The sequence below is a fragment of the Homo sapiens genome, chromosome 6 (assembly GCF_000001405.40).
Source record: "Homo sapiens chromosome 6, GRCh38.p14 Primary Assembly".
Lineage (NCBI taxonomy): Eukaryota > Metazoa > Chordata > Mammalia > Primates > Hominidae > Homo > Homo sapiens.
In genome coordinates, this window is record NC_000006.12 from 96792221 (window position 1) to 96812044 (window position 19824).

Sequence of the window (19824 nt, forward strand, 5' to 3'; positions counted from 1 at the left end):
CCTGGGCTCAAGCAATCTGCTTGCCTCAGCCTCCCAACTGCAGGGATTACAAGTGTGAGCCACCACGCCTGGCCAGAGATAAGACATTTAATGACATGCAGAGAAGTCCCACTGAGTCAGTTTATATATGAAGATGCGAGTATCATTCTGATCCCCAAACACCAATCTCTTCTGAACATCGGTTTTCTCCTTAGTCATTGTTTAAAAAAAAAAAAAAAAAAAAAAAACAATGTCTACTAACAATATTAATTGAGTATGTACCATGGTCCAGCTCTGACTCAACACTGGGGATGCAGCAGTAAGCAAAACACTGCTTACTGGCTCAAGGGGCTCAGTCTGGTGGAGGAAATCACCACTTCTCAGGGTGAGCTCTTTCACAGGAGTTTTCCTCTGTGGAACTGCTGGAGTCCTTGGCAGTTCTTCATTCTTTGGGTTTTCCGTCCCCAGAACACCTACGCAGGTGGCTCCAGCAAGGGTAGAGTACAGGGGAGAGCAGTGATCAGGAAAGTCTCACACTGCCTCCTCCAACATTTAGGCCCCACCCAGCCTTGCCAGAGTTTCATCACCTCTAGCTCCTTTCTCTCATTCTTGGCTACTACAGATAACCCCCAGTATTTCAGACAAATTAGTACATAATGGAACCCCAATTATGCACCAGGGTGAGAGTCTATTCAAAAGGAGTTCCGGGATCCACGTGATCTGAGGAAAGTGGCTGGGTGCTCCAATATTTCTGCTGCAGTCAGCAGGTTCTGTGAATGTTCCATGACATTACAGATGGGTGTGTCCCAGGCTCTCAGGGCTCCAGTCAGCCTAACAGTCTTATTTATGACTTAGCCAAATACAGTTCACAACTTAAAACCAAGACTAAACCAATATCAGTTTAGCATTAATATTCACATCTTGGAATGCAGATTTTACTGCTGATTATCTGATGCATTAAGAGTAATACTCATTCACTATGACATTTAGTAAGCTCCTCTCACTAGGGGCTTGGTTCAGTTATCAGAGAATAATAGAGGAAGGTGGCCTAGATGTGAATCCTAGCTATTCCTAAGTAAATATACTTAACTTCTTGGGAACAGTTACCTCAGCTAGAAAAGGGGAAATACTGTGCATTAAATAGATTGAAGGTGTATTTGACCACAATTAGTGGCCAAAATATGGCATGTTATTATTGGTACTATTATTGTACTTTCACGCTTAGAATACTGTTATAACTACAAATGCTTTCAAATTCTTTAAAAGTACTTGGGGTTCATTATTCTTATAGTAGATGTGAATATTCTTTTAATTCAACATGTTGCTTTAATATTTATTTTGCTGTATCTTTCTTACCTTTTTGTGTCAGAAGGAAACATCGAATGTAAATTCAATAACAACCTGCTATTGTAAATCAACCTTCTTTTGTGACTTAAAACTCTCATGTTTAACTGGCACAAAACTGAAACTCTTATATACAAATAAACGATGTTTCCTATGGATTTATAAGTACAGAAAGGCCTTTGCTTTTAGAAATGGAAATGCAGTATGAAATCATTTCATCAAAATAGAAGCAGACATTATCATTGCTTTGCCAAACTGACAATCTAATTTTAAATAATTCAGCAGTAAAATTTTCATCACTTTCCTAGACAGAATTTCTTAAAGCTCTTTAACAGCTTTATAACTCAACAGTTGTTAACTATACTACTAGTTTTTTTGTCATTTCATCTTGAACTACTCTGAGAACTTCTAAAACTAGAATATAGTTACATGCACACAGGCCTTGAGGTCTAATTTGAAAATAAGAACCCAAAGGAAGCAGAATTTGAAGCTAAACTCAGCTTTTAACAGAAATTATTATTCATGATAAACTTTTCTAAATGAAATGCAGTAGTCCTTTTTTTAAAAAAAACTCCACTTTAGAAATGTTAAATATTTATTTATTTTCTTATCAGGAGTTCTTTTCTTGGTTGTAATAAGAATATGCACAAATAACCATATTTTTCGATATTTAAATATTAGAACCCATAATTCAAGGTTGTTTTTTTTTCCATACAGGTCAGTTACTATTGTAAAATAAATTAATTTTAATTACAAAGGTCTAGTACCAATAGATATCTAAGAAATGTATAATTTACCTCCAATAACAAACTTGTGCTTTGATATTTTTTATCATAAAAACTGAGTTTTCAATGAAGGCAGTTTAGCAGGACTATAGTTGTGAAAATAAATCTGAATGTAGCCATTCTTTAAACTTAAACTAAAAATCATTGTAGAATAAAATGTCAAGCAAGTGAAAACTTTTCTGTGATATATACAGAAATGATACATATGTAAATATTTTCACATAAACAAAAACAAAGATCAAGAAAAAAATTAAATATCTTTGTGGGCAACAGAAATACACATATTAAAAAGGTTATTTTTATTTTACTTCAATGCTTGCATTGAACACAACTGGCAGAGCAATAGGAATTAGATAAATCTTTACATTCTTCCGGGAATTACACACAATAAAGACAGCTCTCTATAAGAAAATAAAATATGAGCATAATTAGACTGCTGAAAGTCATGACTTTCAATTAAGTCACCCATTTTGCTCTACTGTGAAGCTATATGCTTTATCAGAATTTTGCCAGTTGAAAGAAAATAAAGCTAACACTGGCAAGATCCAGCACAAACACAGGTGGCAGCAAATCAGGCACAATGTTGTGTGGATTTTCCTCTCAATGTGGATTACCCATGCCTAGAAGATAATGGCTTGCAACACGAAACAAACATTGTGGGATAAAACAGATGATATTTAAATAGATATATTTTCTACAGGAATGTTTCCTGAAGAGTTTCCCAGGGACTACCTGAGCCAGAGTCAGGCAGAGTGCTCAATAAAATAAAAATGCACATTCCTGGGCTCAACCACAGACCCTCTGGAGGCCCAGGAATCTGTACTGTTAACAAGCTCCCTTGGGGATGCTTAAACATGTATTAAAGTTTAAATAATGTTACTCCATACTATTTGGAATTTCCCTTGCATCTTTCTTTTGACCACAAATATTTCATTATCTCTTTTACGCTTCTTACTAGCCAGAAGGAAAAACAGGCAAACAAAAAACCATTTCTGATTATGCCTGTAAGCAGTGAGAATTAGTAGTGGTATCTTTCCCTGCCTCAAGAAAATATGGGGGAATAGGCAACATATGATTTTGCACCTACGTTTCTCAAAGGTGCTCCATAGTACTTATTTTTAAAGCTTTCACAATGTATACATAATAAAAATGTTCAAAATGATTTGTAAACTCTCATCAGATCAAGATAATCCAGTGTAAAAAGAACTGCTGTTCAGTGTTGCTGCTGAATTCTCACAAAGACCCCTTCATAATCTTTGTTCACAAACAGGGAGCGTCTCGGCAGGCACTCCAGAGCTCTCACCAAATGAGGCACTGCCTATTAAGCAGCATGAAAGTACCTAAAGACTGCCCATAAAACAGGAACAAAGAAAACAAAGCTCAGTTTCACCTCCAGCCAAAAAGGAGTCTTCATGACCTATCAATATGTAAGATGAATACAGATCATGCTGACTTTCCTCAGAGAAAAGTCTAATAAAAAATGTCCTTATCAATATCTGCTTGAAATCTAGTTTATATGGAAAATGGAGAGCATAATACACTTCAAAATGCTACTAGTATCTACTACAGTGCTTATGTCCTATAAAATCCCTATGGACAAAAACAATTTTACCTGTGAATAAAAATTAGAAATGAAAGAGGTAGGTGACTATCATTTGAAGATAATCCCAAAACAACATGTTGAATAATATGCTTGAGTCCCCAAAGAGCTCTTTAACTGGACAATGAGTTCCAACATCGGTGCAATTTCCTTAAGAGCAGAGTTTCCCAGATATTTCATGATGTCTTCAACCTTTCAATGCCCCAACTCCTGATACAGTGCCACACTCTTCAGACATTTAATATTAAGAAATAGCTAATGAAGTAAAATGTAAAGAAGTAATACTGGAGACCAAAGGGTGAGGTGATGCTGAAGTCAGCTAGGCTCTTCAAAAATCTATACCCTAGTATAGAGGAAAGCACATTTGAGCTGGACAGGACGTTAGAGATTCATCTAATCCAACTCTCTGGTTTTACAAATGAAGAAATAGAAGCTTATTTTTTCCACTGGCTCACAAAACACTAACATCCTGAAAAGATGCTATAAATCCACAGTTAACTTACTTAATTAGTCAATGATGTAGCCAAGTGGCTATATTTTCAGCCCTTATCCCTGTGGGCTGTTTTATAAAGTGAGCCACTGGTAACAGAGAAGCTGACCAAGGCCCTAGATGCACCTGGGGGCAGACTGTCAGCAAGAGAAAAACAATTTGAAATGTCAGACATGCCCTATTAAAACTTGTTCTAGGCTCAGACGAGGGTTCATTTTCCCTTCTTTGTAGGAGACACACATCTGAGCACGTTCACAAACTCCAGCTCTGCTAGGGCAAGCATTGGGGCAACAATACTATTCTGCCCAGAACACTTACAACTAACACAGATGGACAACTGGAAACCTCCAAACCCGCAGGGGCAAGACCTACACATAGCTATCTTTAATTTCTCAATAATTGTCAGTCACTTGTTTTGCAAATCAAAAACAAAAAAAAAAATCACTGGTTTTGCTTCACAGCCTTATTTATCTAAGATTTTTAAGTCTCACATTAAAAAGTGGTTGTAGGTCAGATGTGGTGGCTCATGCCTGTAATCCCAACATTTTGGGAGGCCAAGGCAGGCAGATCGTTTGAGCTCAGGACTCTGAGACCAGCCTGGGCAACATGGTGAAACCTTGTCTTTACAAAAGAAAATACAAAAAAATAGCTGGGTGTGGTGGCACACACCTGTGTGTGCGTGTGTGTGTGTGGTTCCAGCTATTCAGGAGGCTGAGACAGGAGGATTACCTGAGCCTGGGAGGTTGAGGCTACAATGAGCCATGATCACACCACTGCACTCCAGCCTGGGTGGCAAAGCGAGACTCCAAAAAACAAAAAGTGGTTGTAAGTGATTTTATTTTTTCTTTTCTATTTTCCAGTGTTTCTGTAATGCTTTCATATTTCTTTTGGTAGTTAGAAAATAAAGGCTAATTTTTAAAAAGAATATCATAGTCTAAAAAATTAAAGGATGCATAGAGTTCCCTCTTGACTATGTGACATCTAAACTGAATGAACTGTCTGCGTGGCACAGTGGAACAGCGCAGTCTCAGGATTCTGACAGATTTTTGGATCCCAGCTCTACCACTAACCTTGGGCAGGATTTTAGTCCCTCTGAGACCTGCTTTCTTCACCTGTAAAAATGAAAACAATAATACCTACCTCACAACATCCTGTAAGGATAAAATGATGCACAGTGCCTGACACATAGGTGTCCATAAATATCAACCCCTTCTCCCTATACTCCACAAAAACCCTTGAGTAAAAGGAATCACCACAGCCTGTACCAGCCACTTGCCATCCCCCTCACTACATTCACCTTTTAAATTTGCAAGGATCCTGTCTCCTAGATTTTGCGCTATTGCTTGAAGAGTTGCTATTGTGCTTAGAAAAGTATCTACATTTTATGTTCTCTTTTACAACTGTACATGCAGATAAAACATTTCTTAAAACTATCTTCCCATAAATGATAATGCACATTTCCTAAAGCACATATCATGTATAAAAACAATTCTGAAAAATAAGACTGAATTAATTTGTACATTATCTCTTAAAGTGCACCAAAGTAAATAGTAATGACCCTTAAAATGTCGCTAACCTTCCTGGGTTAGTTTTTAAAATAAAACTAAATATATATTGATTGAGATGTTTGGCTCCAATGTGATGGTAAAAGCAGCAGTGTCTTCCAGAAAAAAAAAGTCTTGATAAACTCAAATAAGCATACCTTAGCAGCACACGAAACACCTACAATTCAATGTAACTGCAGGCTCAATAAAGCACAATCCTGATTCCCACTATGAAAACAAAATCAATCAAGGAAAAACCCCAAAACCAAAAAAAAGTCTCCTCACCCTAAATTGAGGATTTCTATTGAACCCTGGAGGTAATATTTGTAATCACTTTCCTATTATTTATTCTTGGTAACAGAACTATAATTACCATTCTTTCTTTACACTGCTCACACACATACATACACAAACCCTATAAAAAAAAATAAAGTGGAGAGGCTATGAGAAAGAGAATTCAATGTCAATAAAGAACAAGCATCACCCAAAATGTCAGCCAGTTCCAATATTCACACCACCGTCCGATGTTCCCCACACACATAGACAGCACTAGGACGTATCCGTCGCTTTGTGTGACCAGGGAGCTGCGGCAAAAACTTGAAGGACTTAGGCATCATGTCCAGGCAAGCATCATGGAATTTCTTAATCCTCCAGTAGTAGATCAGCGGATTCAATGCAGACTTGAGGTAGCAGAGCCACAGTAGCCAGGTGCTAATCTCAAAAAAGTTGTGCTGATAGTAAAAGTGCTTACTGAATGTTGCCACAAGGCTGTAAGTGGTGAATGGGGCCCAGCAGACAATGAAGACAGCAAAGAGAATCAAAATAGTGGTGAAGGCACGTGTTTTAAAGCCCATGTCAATGCTCATCTGGAAAGGTCTCTGCAGACTCATGAGACCCAGTTTGCTGGCCTGGCTGAGGCATATACCTTCAGGGTAGCTATGGATCCTCAAGGCATTGTGCCGAAGGGTGTTGAGTATGCCCATAAATGAGTACAGTATTACCAGGAAGGGTATGAAGAAAGAAATGAGAGAAATCAAAATCACATAAGCCTGGTAGCCTGGATTGGTTGTGTACCCAAACACACACTGGGGAGCTCGGGAAGGTATCTGCAGGTCGGGGTTTCCTACGGCTAAAGGAAAAGCTACACAAAAGGAAGTTGCCCAAGAAACTGCAATCAGAACCTTAGCTCTATATGGGTTTAGCTTATCCTGCCTCTGGACTATAATAAGGAACCTATCTATGCTAATGATGAGCAGGATGGCTACTCCTTCTATCACAAATAACCAGAAAAACATAGCAGATACCCTACAGAAGAATTTCCCAAAAATCCATCGGGTAGTAAGAATAGTTACCAGGGCAAAGGGCATGTTCAGCACTGCAAGCAACATGTCTGCAAAAGCTAGGCTGGCAAGGAGGATGTTAATTGCAGACCTCATGGCAGCTTTTTGGTAAACCATGAGGCAAACAACCAAGTTCCCAAGAAAAGACACAAACAGAATGAATATCATTATAGCAGAAAGGGTGATCTGAAGAGGCAAGTTTAGGCTCTTAAATGCTGCTGGTGTTGTGGGCACAGCTGTACTATTCACGGTCAAGGAACTCAAACCAGTGGGAGCCATGGTTTCAAAACTATATCTAAGCAATGGACTGAGGTCAGGATGCTGGAATGGTGGAGGGAGTGTAATATTCATGTAGGTGTTTTCATACACGACAAATGTTGTGTTGGATGTCCCGGTATGGAACGCAGTCAACACTGCCGAGAAGACCATGGTTTCAGTAGGATGGAAGATGCAAGCAGAGATGCAGGAGTTCTTCAAGCATTTCAACACAGAACAGCAGTATCAGGTCCCATTGATGGGCTTGGAAATACATTCTGGAAAATGGACAATGAGTTCCATCTTCCACAAGAGTCCTTTTGCCTGAAAATAAAACCAAAACACAAAAAGTAAATGAGAAATGAGATTTGCAAATAACATTTAACTCCAGGGCTGCCTTTCATCATGAAGGATCAGTTTTGCTCTTTTTGACCGTTTAAAAATATTTTAGTCTCCAGTGTAGTCAACACTAAAATATCGTTCTGTTATTTTATCTTTAGTCAACCATGGTGGAAATTTCATGACATTCATATATAAAGCAAAAGTGCGAGGAATCTCAAAATGTGTTACTGCCCCAAAGACAAAAATTATAATCTTACTGTTAATTTTTAAAATATTTCCAGTGCCTTTAATTTTAATTAAATGTTAATTTTAATTTTCATGCTTTGCTATAGTCACTATTAATACAGATTTTTATTACCTGGTTCTCTTGAGCACTATTTTTTTTTAATTAATAGTTCTTTGGTACAAGTTCTTACTCTAATTTTACATTAGCACAAAACCAGATGACAAAGAAACCTAAAGCAGGTTTCCTATTTCACACATAACAATTACACACTTTAGTTCTAACATCCTTATAAGTAGGCACTAAGTAATTGTCAATGAAGATCTGAAACATTTTCTTGGCTTGCTATTTATTTATTTATCCAATTAATTCATCAATTTTTTTCATTTTTAGTTTTTGAATTAAAAATTCATTCATTTTTAATTTCTTTCCAGAAGTTCCACCACCAACCATACTGGAGAACTTACTCAAGAGGAGAAGAAAAATTCTAAGATGTCTTGGTAATATTTTCAAAAGTTTTATTTTACTAAAGCTCTCTTTGCTTCTCATAGTCTCTCTTCTCTCCCAAGTCCACTGACTTTCATCCTTTCTTTTCTGATATGTATACATCTATCTCCTCTATTCTCTTCTCCCTAAAAAACCAATCTTATTTTGTGTTAGCAACTTGATCAGAATATGTCAACCAAATAACAAAGATAGAGATGTTAAAGGAGAGATGACTAGAAAAATATTCAGGTATGAAGAATCTATTCCAGAAAACTTACAAACATATTTAGTTAGCTTGCTCCAAAAAGTTTCTTATCACCTTTCTCTTATCCTAACCCCCAATTTCTTACCCAGATTTCTGTAACTCCAGAGTTTTCTGTAAGGGACTTTCTTTATCTGCTGTCTTACACATTTTGTGGTATGGGTTTTTCCTTCCGTAGGTCTTTACTGGAGAGGTAACCTCTTTATAGTTAGAAAGAAGTCTCTGAATTTCTGGCTAGATTCCTTTAATAAGCTCTTAAGAGACTGGGAAAACATACATGTACAGCAGTTTAAAACAAACTGCAGTTTACTCATTATTTCGACTTAGAATCAGTCATTGATTTTTTTTTTTTTTTTCCAGACAGAGTCTCACTCTTGTTGCCCAGATGGTGCGATCTCAGCTCACCGCAACCTCCGCCTCCTGGGTTCAAGCGGTTCTCCTACCTCAGCCTCCCGAGTAGCTGGGATTACAGGTATGCACCACCAAGCCCGGCTAATTTTGTATTTTTAGTAGAGACGGGGTTTCTCCATGTTGGTCAGGCTGGTCTCGAACTCCTGACCTCAGGTGATCCACCCGCCTCAGCTTCCCAAAGTGTTGGGATTACAGGCGTGAGCCACTGCACCCAGCCTAGTCATTGATTTTAAGGGTCACTGTCAAAATTTCATTCATTCATTTACTAATGCATGATGGGTAGGGATATCACATTTCTAAGACCCAAGATCCAGCAATGTAGCCAAATCAGGGACTCTCTACATACCTATAGCTCTACAATCCCATCTTTTTTTGTCCAGGGCTGCCTTTATAAAAAGAAGAATCCTGATCTATTCATTCAAAATATCAACTTTACTACTTGCGTTCACTTCTACGGTTTAATTTCTTTGCCCTTACTAGATTTTATCTATCCTCACATATTCACTTTGTAATACAAAACATACCTGGATAAGATGCCACACTAAGCCAGCTGCTCTTGAACTTTATTAACCACAAAGGGGCCAGTGGGAAGAGAGCAGTGGTAGTTGGAAGATTTTACACCATAATCACCATCAGCCTCTATAGAAGTACCCTAAATATACATATAATTAAGACTAAAGGCTGTGCTTAATTGTAAATTAACCTCAATACAAGTCTACCTCCATAGAGGTAGAGGTAATTTCTCTAGAAAAATTATAAATAGACAAATGTGTATCTTAAGCCTAATGTGACAGCTAAAATTGTGTTTGACAAAGTAAACTAACATATATCCATCCTGTACTACCACACTGTTTAAAATATTTCATTTCCTTGACCATGTTAAGGAACAAAAACAAAAAATGGGATGAAGCCAAAGTAAAACCATAATTTAAAAGATGACTTTTAACTTGTTATATTTGCATAGTCATTGTATCTTTCTACCATAAAAGCTTCCCACAACTATAAAAACTTCTAACAATTCATTCAATATTTCATCAAATATCTATTTAAGAACCTACTACATGCCAGGTACTAAAAGGAAAATGGTGAGCAAATAAATGGTTTCTAAATTTCTCGTAAAAAATGAAGACTGACCACAGTCCACATCCCGAAAATTACACTGAAATGACAGTAAAGGGATTTTTTAAACAAAGTATATAAACCAAAAGGACAAGAGGTATAAATGAAAAACACATCAGTAGATAAAAAATTTTTTCTAATTTTTTTTTTTTTTTTTGAGACAGAGTCTCGCTCTGTCACCCAGGCTGGAGTGCAGTGGCACAGTCTTGGCTCACTACAAGCTCCACCTCCTGGGTTCACGTCATTCTTCTGCCTCAGCCTCACGAGTATCTGGGACTACAAGCACCTGCCACCATGCCCAGCTAATTTTTTTTTTTTTTGTATTTTTAGTAAAGACGGGGTTTCACCTGGTTTGCCAGGATGTTTTTTAATGTTTTAAGGCAAAAAAAGCAAATGGTGTTGTAGTAACTGACTTAAGAAACCAGAACAGAGAACAATTTATTCTCAATACTTCCAGGGAAATATGCTTTGAAGAAACTGAAACAATCCTGTAGATGCCCAGAGAATCTCTGGATGCCAATTACCACAGAGTATATAGGCAGAGCTGAAAACTGGAAAACTGACTGAAAATCAGACACTGGAACCCCACTCCACACCTAGTTCTCCTCTCTGAACAATCACATGAAAGCACGTATCTCCATTTCAGTAGCCCAACTCTGTGGCACAACTGAACCTGACAAGCACCACACTCGAAAATATTAGTGCAAGGCTGAAAACAGGGGGACTGAGTGAATGCATATTCAATTTGAGAACCTAGCTCCTTTTGCCATCCTGCTCTCAGACTGCCAGAAGCCAGGCACATATTGCCCATGCAGAAGACTCAAAGGCTGTAACTAAACTGCCACAGAGGAAAAACCTCTAGATACTAACATCTGATGGTAGCCCAAGAACAATGCCAGCTTGGTGACCAGTCACCTGTATATGGAAGCCTACCCACTGTCAAACCAGCCCATGAACACAGAGATTCTAATCAACTTTTCAGTGCCTATTAGATATAAATTGTCAATTTCTCTAAGAAATAAAGAGTTTAACAAAGAAATTAAACAAAAGCATTTTTGTAGTTAAACATTAAGGAAAATAACTTCAATTTAAAATACTAAGGAACATAGCATGAACAGACTTAATAATGCCTTTGCCTCAGTATCTGTACAGTGGTCGTCATTCACTTCACTCCTGGCTCATTGGAATGTAAATATTCCCTGGCCTTCTTCCTTTTCTTATGAAGTATAATAACCAAAGCAGTGCTCTTGAATGCTCACAGTAACTACATTAAAAGATTCTTTCCTCTAAGCATTTCTCATCAAATATCATTGTCACCTGAAGTTTCTTTGAATTTTATGTAAGAATAGGTTAAAAAGTTTCACACTTACAATTTGTATTTCCAAATGAAATAGGACAGTAACAGCATGAGAGCAACAGACAGCGTAGGTTGGTAACATTTACACAGGAGTCTTAATGTTAAATCCAATCTCGACTAGTCTTTATTTGCCATTTGTTGGAAATGTTTAACAAATCTTCCAAGTGAGAAAAATTTTAAATTATGTGTGAATGTGTGCACATGATATATGCATACATAATACACATGTTTATACAAACACACCACATGTATGTGTACTTGTAAAACTCGCGTATGGTAGAAGTGACTGGATTTATGATTCTCTCTTATTCCATCTACAGAAACAATGCTGGGCTATCAGGTTAATGATATAAGTGGAGTGTTTTATATTTGGAGTGTGCCAGAATGTCATATTTATTGGGCTTCAGTGGCTAGAATGGTCAGTAGCGGTTGTAGTATTCTCTTGGTCCTCTTTCCTTAGTCTTACCTGCCACTGGAGTGCTTTATTTTATTTTTTTGAGACAGGATCTCACTCTATCACCCAGGCTGGAGTGTGGTGGCACAATCACAGCTCACTGTAGCCTTGACCTCCCAAGCTCAAGTGATCTTTGGAGTGCTTTAAGTACTTGTTTTATTCTCTGAAAAGGCTATATTCTCCTAGAAGGCAGCCATTGATTTTATTAATCCCATTGTTCCCTACGACCACTATGCTTTGCACACATTCTGATAAATATTTAGATAACTAAATTCATTTGCACTGTTTTGTGGGATCAATTTTTTGTTTACTCATTTTAATATTCATAAAATATGCACATAATTTTAAAAATAATTAGATAAGTTTTAAGGTGATCATCAAACCCTGTCCCAATCTTCACCACCCCATTCCTGTTTTTAGAGGTACTCATTCTTAATTATTTTAAAGGTTTTTTCATATATTTATTCTTTATATATCTAAATAACATGAAGAAATTACTTTTTGGTTTATCACTTAAATATATTAACTCCTGATTTCCTGTAAGTATAGATGTAGATTTAGCTGTCACAGCATTTCCAACTAATTTCTCTTCCCTTTGTACTATCAAAATCTTTATTTGAAACTTCTGAATTACAGTAGTGTATTAATGTAGTTATGTAAATAGTATATTTACTGATAAGCCAACAGTAGAATATTTTCCGTTCTTGTTTAACTTTTAGAAATCCTAAAATTAATAAATAACTTACATATTTATTCTCCATTTTTTTGTTTGTTTTGTTTTGGCTGTTTGGATATTTTTTGTTGAAGTTTTTGTTCAAGTCCTTTGCTCATCTTTCAGCTGGGTTATCTTTTTCTTATAAATTTGTTGGCATTTAAATATACATACACACACACACATACATTCTTTTTTCCCAAAGGATGAGGCTGTGCAATTTATAAGGAACAGAGGTTTATTTTGTCTCACAATTCTGCAGGCTGTATGAGAAGCATGGTGCCAGCATCTGCTCCTGGAGAGGTTTCAGGAGGCTTACAATCATGGTGGAAGGTGAAGGGTGAGAGCAGGAACAAGAGAGCGAGAGGGGTTGGTGCCATACCCTTTTAAAAAACCAGATCTTGTGTGAACTCAGTGCAAAAACTCACTCACTACGGGGAGGACAGCATCAAGGCATTCATGAGGGATCCACCCCATGACTCAAATACCTCTAACCAGGCCCAAACCTCCAACACTGGGGATTCCATTTCAACATGAGATCTGGAGGGGACAAACAGCCCAACCATGTCAGTATCATATTCTACAGTACTGATTCTATTCAGAGCAGGAGTTTATGGAAATCACATGATTAATGAAGTTTGGGCTCATTACAACTCCCACTCATCCCAGAACTCATGCCATGGTTATTCTACCAGTTTTGAAATGCTGAGTTAGAACAGACAAACTCAGCAGATTCTCTCACTGGTTCTCTAATCTGTGGAGCAAGGGTATAATGGTAGGAAAGGTTAACTGCAAACCCTTAGAACTATCTATTTCTACCTATGAAAGTAAACCAAAAGCAACATTTCATTCCTGCAGAGATTGCAAAGATTAGAGTCACCATCAAGGACTTGCAAGAAGAAGGTGATCATTTCTGCCATATCTCTATTCAAGTTGTCTCTTTGGCTTTGTACAAAACAGATGGATTTTGAAGAGTGCAGATGCTGTACCAGATGTGGTTTTACTGATGGAGCGAATCAACATATTTCCTGGCATCTGGTACATGGCTATTGATCTGTCAAATTCTGGTTTTCTCTATATGTGTTAGCAAAGACTACTTGAAGCATTTGCCTACCCTACTATCCTACCTCAGGGCTCTGTCAAGTCTCCAGCACGCTATCATAATCTCGTTCACAGGGACCTTGGTTGTACTTCTAGTCCATAGAATGTTATGCTGTCTATTACATGCTGACTATACAGTAAGTGGCAAATACCCTATGCATGGTAAGACACATGTGCGACAGAGTGAAGAAAGAGTCCTAAAAAAATTCAGAGGCCTGCCATCTTTTAAATTTTCTAGGGGTCTTAGTAGTATTTCAAGATATCCCTTCCAAAGTGATAGCTCTCTTGCCTACCACTAATACAGAGACACAGCATCTAGCTGGCTTTTCTGGACTCTGGAGGCAACATGCACCTCATTTGGGTATGTTATTCTGACCTATTTATCAAGTAGCTTGAAAAGCTGCCATATTTGAGTAATCAGTAATAATAAGAGAAGGCTCCACAACAGGTCCGGGCTGCTATGAAAGCTGCTCTGCCACTGAGCCGAAAGATTTACTGGTGTTTTAGGTGTCTGTGGCACATAGGGATTCTGTATAGCATTTGGCAGGCCCCTTAAAGGTCAGACCAGATCTTTAGAATTTTGGAACAAAGCTATGGAACATGAGTGCTCCACATAAACTTGGTGTTGTCTGACTTTCTGAAGCCATACAGTTGGGTTTGCATGGAGCATTTTAGCCTTATACAGAAGGGTATGTATGAAATCAGACCTGGCAGGTGCTCAGGGCACAGTTCAGTTACATGAGCAAGTGGCTGAGATTCCCACAGCTCCTATGTTTGCTGTAATGACCCTCTCTTTAAACTTCACCTGTGACCTCACTGAGAGGAGTTTCTTATGACCAGTTAACTAAAGAAGAAAAAAATTAAGGCCTGATTTATTGTGCAGATGGTTCTGCACAATAAATTGGTGCCACACAGGGGTGAAGAGTTGTAGCATTACAGCCCCACTTGGAAGCCCGTAAGGGCACAGCAGAGAAAACCTCCCAGTGGGCAACATTTTGAATAGTATACTTGGTTGTTCATTTTGACAAATTCATGCCAGAGATGAAAAACTACATTCATTCATAGACAGTAGCTAATGGTTTGACTGGCTAGTCATGTAAATGCTCACCAAATAGCAACTTTCAAAAGAAGAGCTTGATAATCAGGCAGACAAGATGACCTATTCTATTGAGATCAATCAACCTCTCTCTCTAGTCACTCCTGTCCTTCCCTAAAGGATTCATGAACAACATAGCCATGGCAGAAGGGACAGAGATTATACATGTGCTCAGCAACATGGACTTCCACTCACCCAGATCAATCTGGCTATAGCCACTGGATACTCACTGTGGCAACACAGGGACCAAAACTAAACCTATTGAAAATGACATAATCTCCTGGAGACACTAGCCAGCTACTTGGTGACGAGTGGATTACATGGACTACTTCCATGATTGGTGACTTTGTTTTTCTTAGAATATATCCATATGCTGGATAATTTTACCAAATTAGGCCATCAAGCATAATATCAATATGTTTAGTATCCTGTGCCTCCTTCCTTTCACACAATATCCTACACATATCAGAGAAAAGTAATCAGAAAGCTAATAATCACCTCCACTGTGGTTACACATTTCAAATAAAAACAGTAGGAACTCAAAAACAAAACTCTTAAAATTTTGTTTTTTAAGTATCCAGAAGCATAAAGGAATAGACATATCAAGATATTCAGTATTCAAAGGGGCAATCTGCATTCTTAAGAATAACCTTTTATCTCCTGAGTTTTGTTAGGAAGTATAATATCAAAGAACTGTCTTAAGCTCTTTGAATATGTTAGCTTTAAAAATTCCACGGCAACTATGACATTACTACTGCTATAATATCCATTTTAAGGATGATGGAACGATTGCACAGAATGGTCAAGTAACATGTCCAAGGTCACATGACTAATAATGGGCAAAGCTGGGAGTTAAACCCAGGAAGTGTGTTCTTAGCCACTACGCTATGCTGTAAAACAGAGAATACAACATACAGAAATGCCACTAGTACTAGAAAAACATAATACTTTGTTTTCTTTTACATATCACATGTATGTTTTCAAAAACATATTGCTAAATTTAAAAAGCAATTACAATAAATTTAGAAATGATGTGGAAATGAATCAGGATTATATCTATATTTTTTTACCAGAATATTCATGTAAATGTAGGGCTCTATACCGTGATTACAGAAGTCTAGGTCTGCCAAAAATATATGACATATGGAATCTAAATATGCATGAAAAATACAAATACTTTTTTTCTTTAAAAAAATGAGACTCAGTAAAAAGAATCTTAACAGTGCTGAATTTGCTCAGTGTTTCCCAATGCAGATGGTACAAATATCTGGTAAAAATACAATAAAGCTCCAAAGCAACGAGATTAGTTTTCCCATGGGGTTGCTAAAACTGGAGTGACCACCTTTTAATCACAATTTCACATGAAACAAAGTGAAAATTCTACAATCCCAATAGAACTGAATATTTAGTAAGTAAAAGGAAAGATTTCTTCAGGCCAATTCTTTCAGTGCCCAAAAGGATTTTCTGATGCTGCAGTAATATAAATGTTGGCTGTTTTTCAGAAGAGTTTCACAGGCTGAAGTGCTGAGGGCTTCCATAAAACTCTGCAAAGCAGTCCTCATCAAAACTGGGACTGCAGAGAAAAGGAGCAAAAAAGTGGGACACCTACACTGAACTCCAGTCAACTAAACAGGGCCAGCTTCTTTTTTTTATTTTATTTTATTATTATGATACTTTAAGTTTTAGGGTACATGTGCACAATGTGCAGGTTAGTTACCTATGTATACATGTGCCATGCTGGTGTGCTGCACCCATTAACTCATCATTTAGCATTAGGTATATCTCCTAAAGCTATCCCTCCCCCGTCCCCCCACCCCACAACAGTCCCCAGAGCGTGATGTTCCCCTTCCTGTACCAGCTTCTTTCTTTATCTCGTCCTGCCATCTCTAATTCTTCAAGATGGTTTTATTCTCTTTCCTTTCTGCTCCTTTCCTTTTTCTCTTCCTTTATATTATTTTGACTGTATCTCTACACTGAAAATTTTCAAAACCAACCTCCCTTTCTAATCTCCAATAAAAGACCATCCTTGGATCCACATACAAGCTGGAGTACACTGGCTTTACCAGCCCATTAGAATCATAGCCTCTCTTCTACAACTTCCATCTCTAACCCCTCTAGGAGAATCCTGCTATCTTTGCCTCCCCAGTTAGGCCTTCAAATGACCCTGTATTCAGAGTGCATGTTAACTAATGTGTCTAACTGCCTGTTATCTCTACCATGACTCAGACTACAAATCTTGCAAAAGAGATAGGAGCACCACATTACAACTTAGAAAGAAACTCATTATACAAAATTCTGCCTTGATGTTAAAATTCACTGGGCTGCCTAGATAGATATAAAGATATACAGATTAGATATAGATATATGCATGTATCTATATCTACAGATAGATATAGATACCATGTGTATATATAACCAAAAAATTCTTTCATGGTTCACTAAGTATGTTCTCTTTATATGCAATTTGATCTGAATCATTTTCTGCATTTTTCTCTTCCTTCAAATCCATAGTAACCCAGTACTACATAAAACCTATCAACTTTCACAAATGCTAAGAAAATGTCATCTAAATATGGCCAACCTCAAGCTTTTCCTAAATTATCTTACTATAAGGATGTCGAAAGTAGAGAAAAAATATCTGGGTAATAGTCTTGGCCCTTGCATTCATTAACTAAGATGTTCAGGCAAGTCAGTGAACTTTCCTGACTCTCAAATGTCCTTATCTCAAAGATGCAGATATAAAACCACACCATAGGTTGGTGAATTAAATAAGATAGATGAAAGTGAATTATAAACTACAAAGTGCTATCAAATTATAACATATTATAACCATAATCTTCTACAGACTTCCACTATGTTATGCAATCAATATCTCTATTATAGCCTATTGGTGGGAGTATGAACTGGTACAGCATTTTGGGAGTAAGAGTAGGCAGTATTTCTTAATATTAAACAATTTAAATATTGTCTAGAATTCTACGTGATAAAAACACTAGCATAAACATGCAGATAAGAATGTTCATTGTAGCATTACTTCACAGTGAAAAACTCAACATCTTTTTAATACTCATCAATAAGATAACAGTTAAATAAACTGGGGCGCGGTGGCTCACACCTGTAATCCCAGCAGTTTGGAAGGCTGAGGCAGGTGGATAGCTTGAGGTTAAGAGCTCGAGACCAGTCTGGCCAACATGGTGAAACTCTGTCTCTATTAAAAATACAAAAATTAGCTGGGTGTGGTGGCGTGTGCCTCTAATCCCAGCTACTCAGTAGCTGAGGCACAAGAATCACTTGAATCCAGGAGGCAGAGGTTGCAGTTAGCTGAGATCATGCCACTGCACTCCAGCGCAGGCGACAGTGCGAGACTCCGTCCCAGGAAAAAAAAAAAAAAAAGATAACAGTTAAATAAAGTGTGATACATACATACTAGGAATACCATGCAGCTATCACAAACAATAGGTCAATCTAGAATAGTGACAGCAGAGAATGTTCATCATATACTAAAAAAAAAAGAAAAAATTAACATGCAGAATGACGTACAACATAGTCCCATTGTTATGTATGTATGTAGATGTGTGTGTATATGCATATACATGTATGTGTTTGTGCATATGTACATAGGTATAGACAAACAGACCAAACGGACAAAAGGGATTTCTTTTCTGGTATGAAATTAAGGGAGTAAAATATTATTTTCCCCATACACTTACAGTTTTGTATAATTTTTTTCCACATTAAATCAATATTGATCTTGTACTATTCTATCACACTTTTCTTCCTGTTTCCTGTATAAAATTCCTTGAGGATGCAAGCTGCAACCTATCTTATTTGTAACATATCTGACCTAACACAAAGCTGTGTATCCTAAAGTTGCTTAAGATAACAATAACCATGTATGCCACTCTCTATGGAAAAGAGGGTAAGAAGCAAACCACAGTCTGCAGATTCTGCAGGACCTGGGTTCAAGCTTCCCAGGGCTCCCAGCAGAGACATCCCACCAGCCCCGGTCTCAGTCCAATCTTCTAAAATGCTGTACTCATTGCATATGCTCTAAAGGTTGGCCTTGATTCCACTGATCCCAGGATGCTGGGAAGAAACGAGTGGCACCACTATGAAAAAATTGCTGTTCTAAAACTATTCTATCCCCTAACGGATAAACAGAAACTGGCTGCTGGGAATAACCCACGCGTTCCAGCCAACTCATTACTGACAGCAGAATAAAACAGGTAGGAATGTGAAATACTGGCGTTACTCAAGGGTGTCTGCTTTTGTCTTGAACAAAATGAAAGTCTAAAGGAAAGAACAATGCCTAAGAGAAAGGAGAGCTCTTGTGACATTATGGAGCATCTCTCTCTCATTCTGGGCCACAGCCTGTGCTTGAAGAGAAAAGATGTCACATCATGTTCTTCTGCTATTTGCCACACTCTTAGCCAACAAGAATTTCACTTGGTCCTACCTTCATTCCTATCTTTCCTCTCATCTAAGAAAGAAATAAAATTGCAAACTAAGAGAGGAAAGAAAAAAGTGTATCACATATAAATTTATATTCCTTCCTATATTAGGCCCTTGCAACATATCCAGAGATTCTAATTAAAACTGGGGGAATGGGAGTCGAAGGACACACAAGGATGGAAGTATACTCCTGAGTTCTGTTTTGAAAAAGGTGGAACCAGAAATAAAGAATCAACCATTTCACTTCAGAACTTTATTTCATTAAAAATAAATAAATAAATAAATAAATAAATAAATAAATAAATAAATAAATAAATAAAATAAAAGGCAATCACCTTCATTGGGCAACCTACTTTGCAATTAAAATGAATACTCTATAAATTTAGATCATTATAACAATGTCTACTTTTTTTGTCGTTAATTCTCTTATTCTCTGGTTTAACTGTAAGTAGAGTCAAAGGAAGCTTTGAAA

The 19824-nt window shown here is 37.4% G+C and overlaps 1 protein-coding gene across 9 annotated transcripts in view, besides 1 other annotated feature; it reads right to left on the reverse strand.

The window, feature by feature from the left end:
- Positions 670-870: a silencer, noted in NCBI's record as "peak5968 fragment used in MPRA reporter construct". NCBI's record gives its function as "represses an SCP1 promoter by STARR-seq MPRAs in K562 erythroleukemia cells {active_cell/tissue: K562}" and the evidence as "EXISTENCE:reporter gene assay evidence [ECO:0000049][PMID:32103011]".
- Positions 1905-19824, reverse strand: part of GPR63 (G protein-coupled receptor 63) — a 43353-nt gene continuing 25433 nt past the window's right edge. For 8 of the 9 annotated variants that reach the window (NM_030784.4, NM_001143957.3, XM_011536155.2 and 5 more), the window contains one exon: positions 1905-7661. In NM_030784.4, the coding sequence (NP_110411.1) occupies positions 6252-7511 (1260 nt within the window). In that variant the 5' untranslated portion in view covers positions 7512-7661 and the 3' untranslated portion in view covers positions 1905-6251. Of the gene's footprint in view, positions 7662-8738; positions 19620-19824 lie in introns of those variants that run through there. The other variant, XM_006715570.5, reaches the window with a different exon arrangement.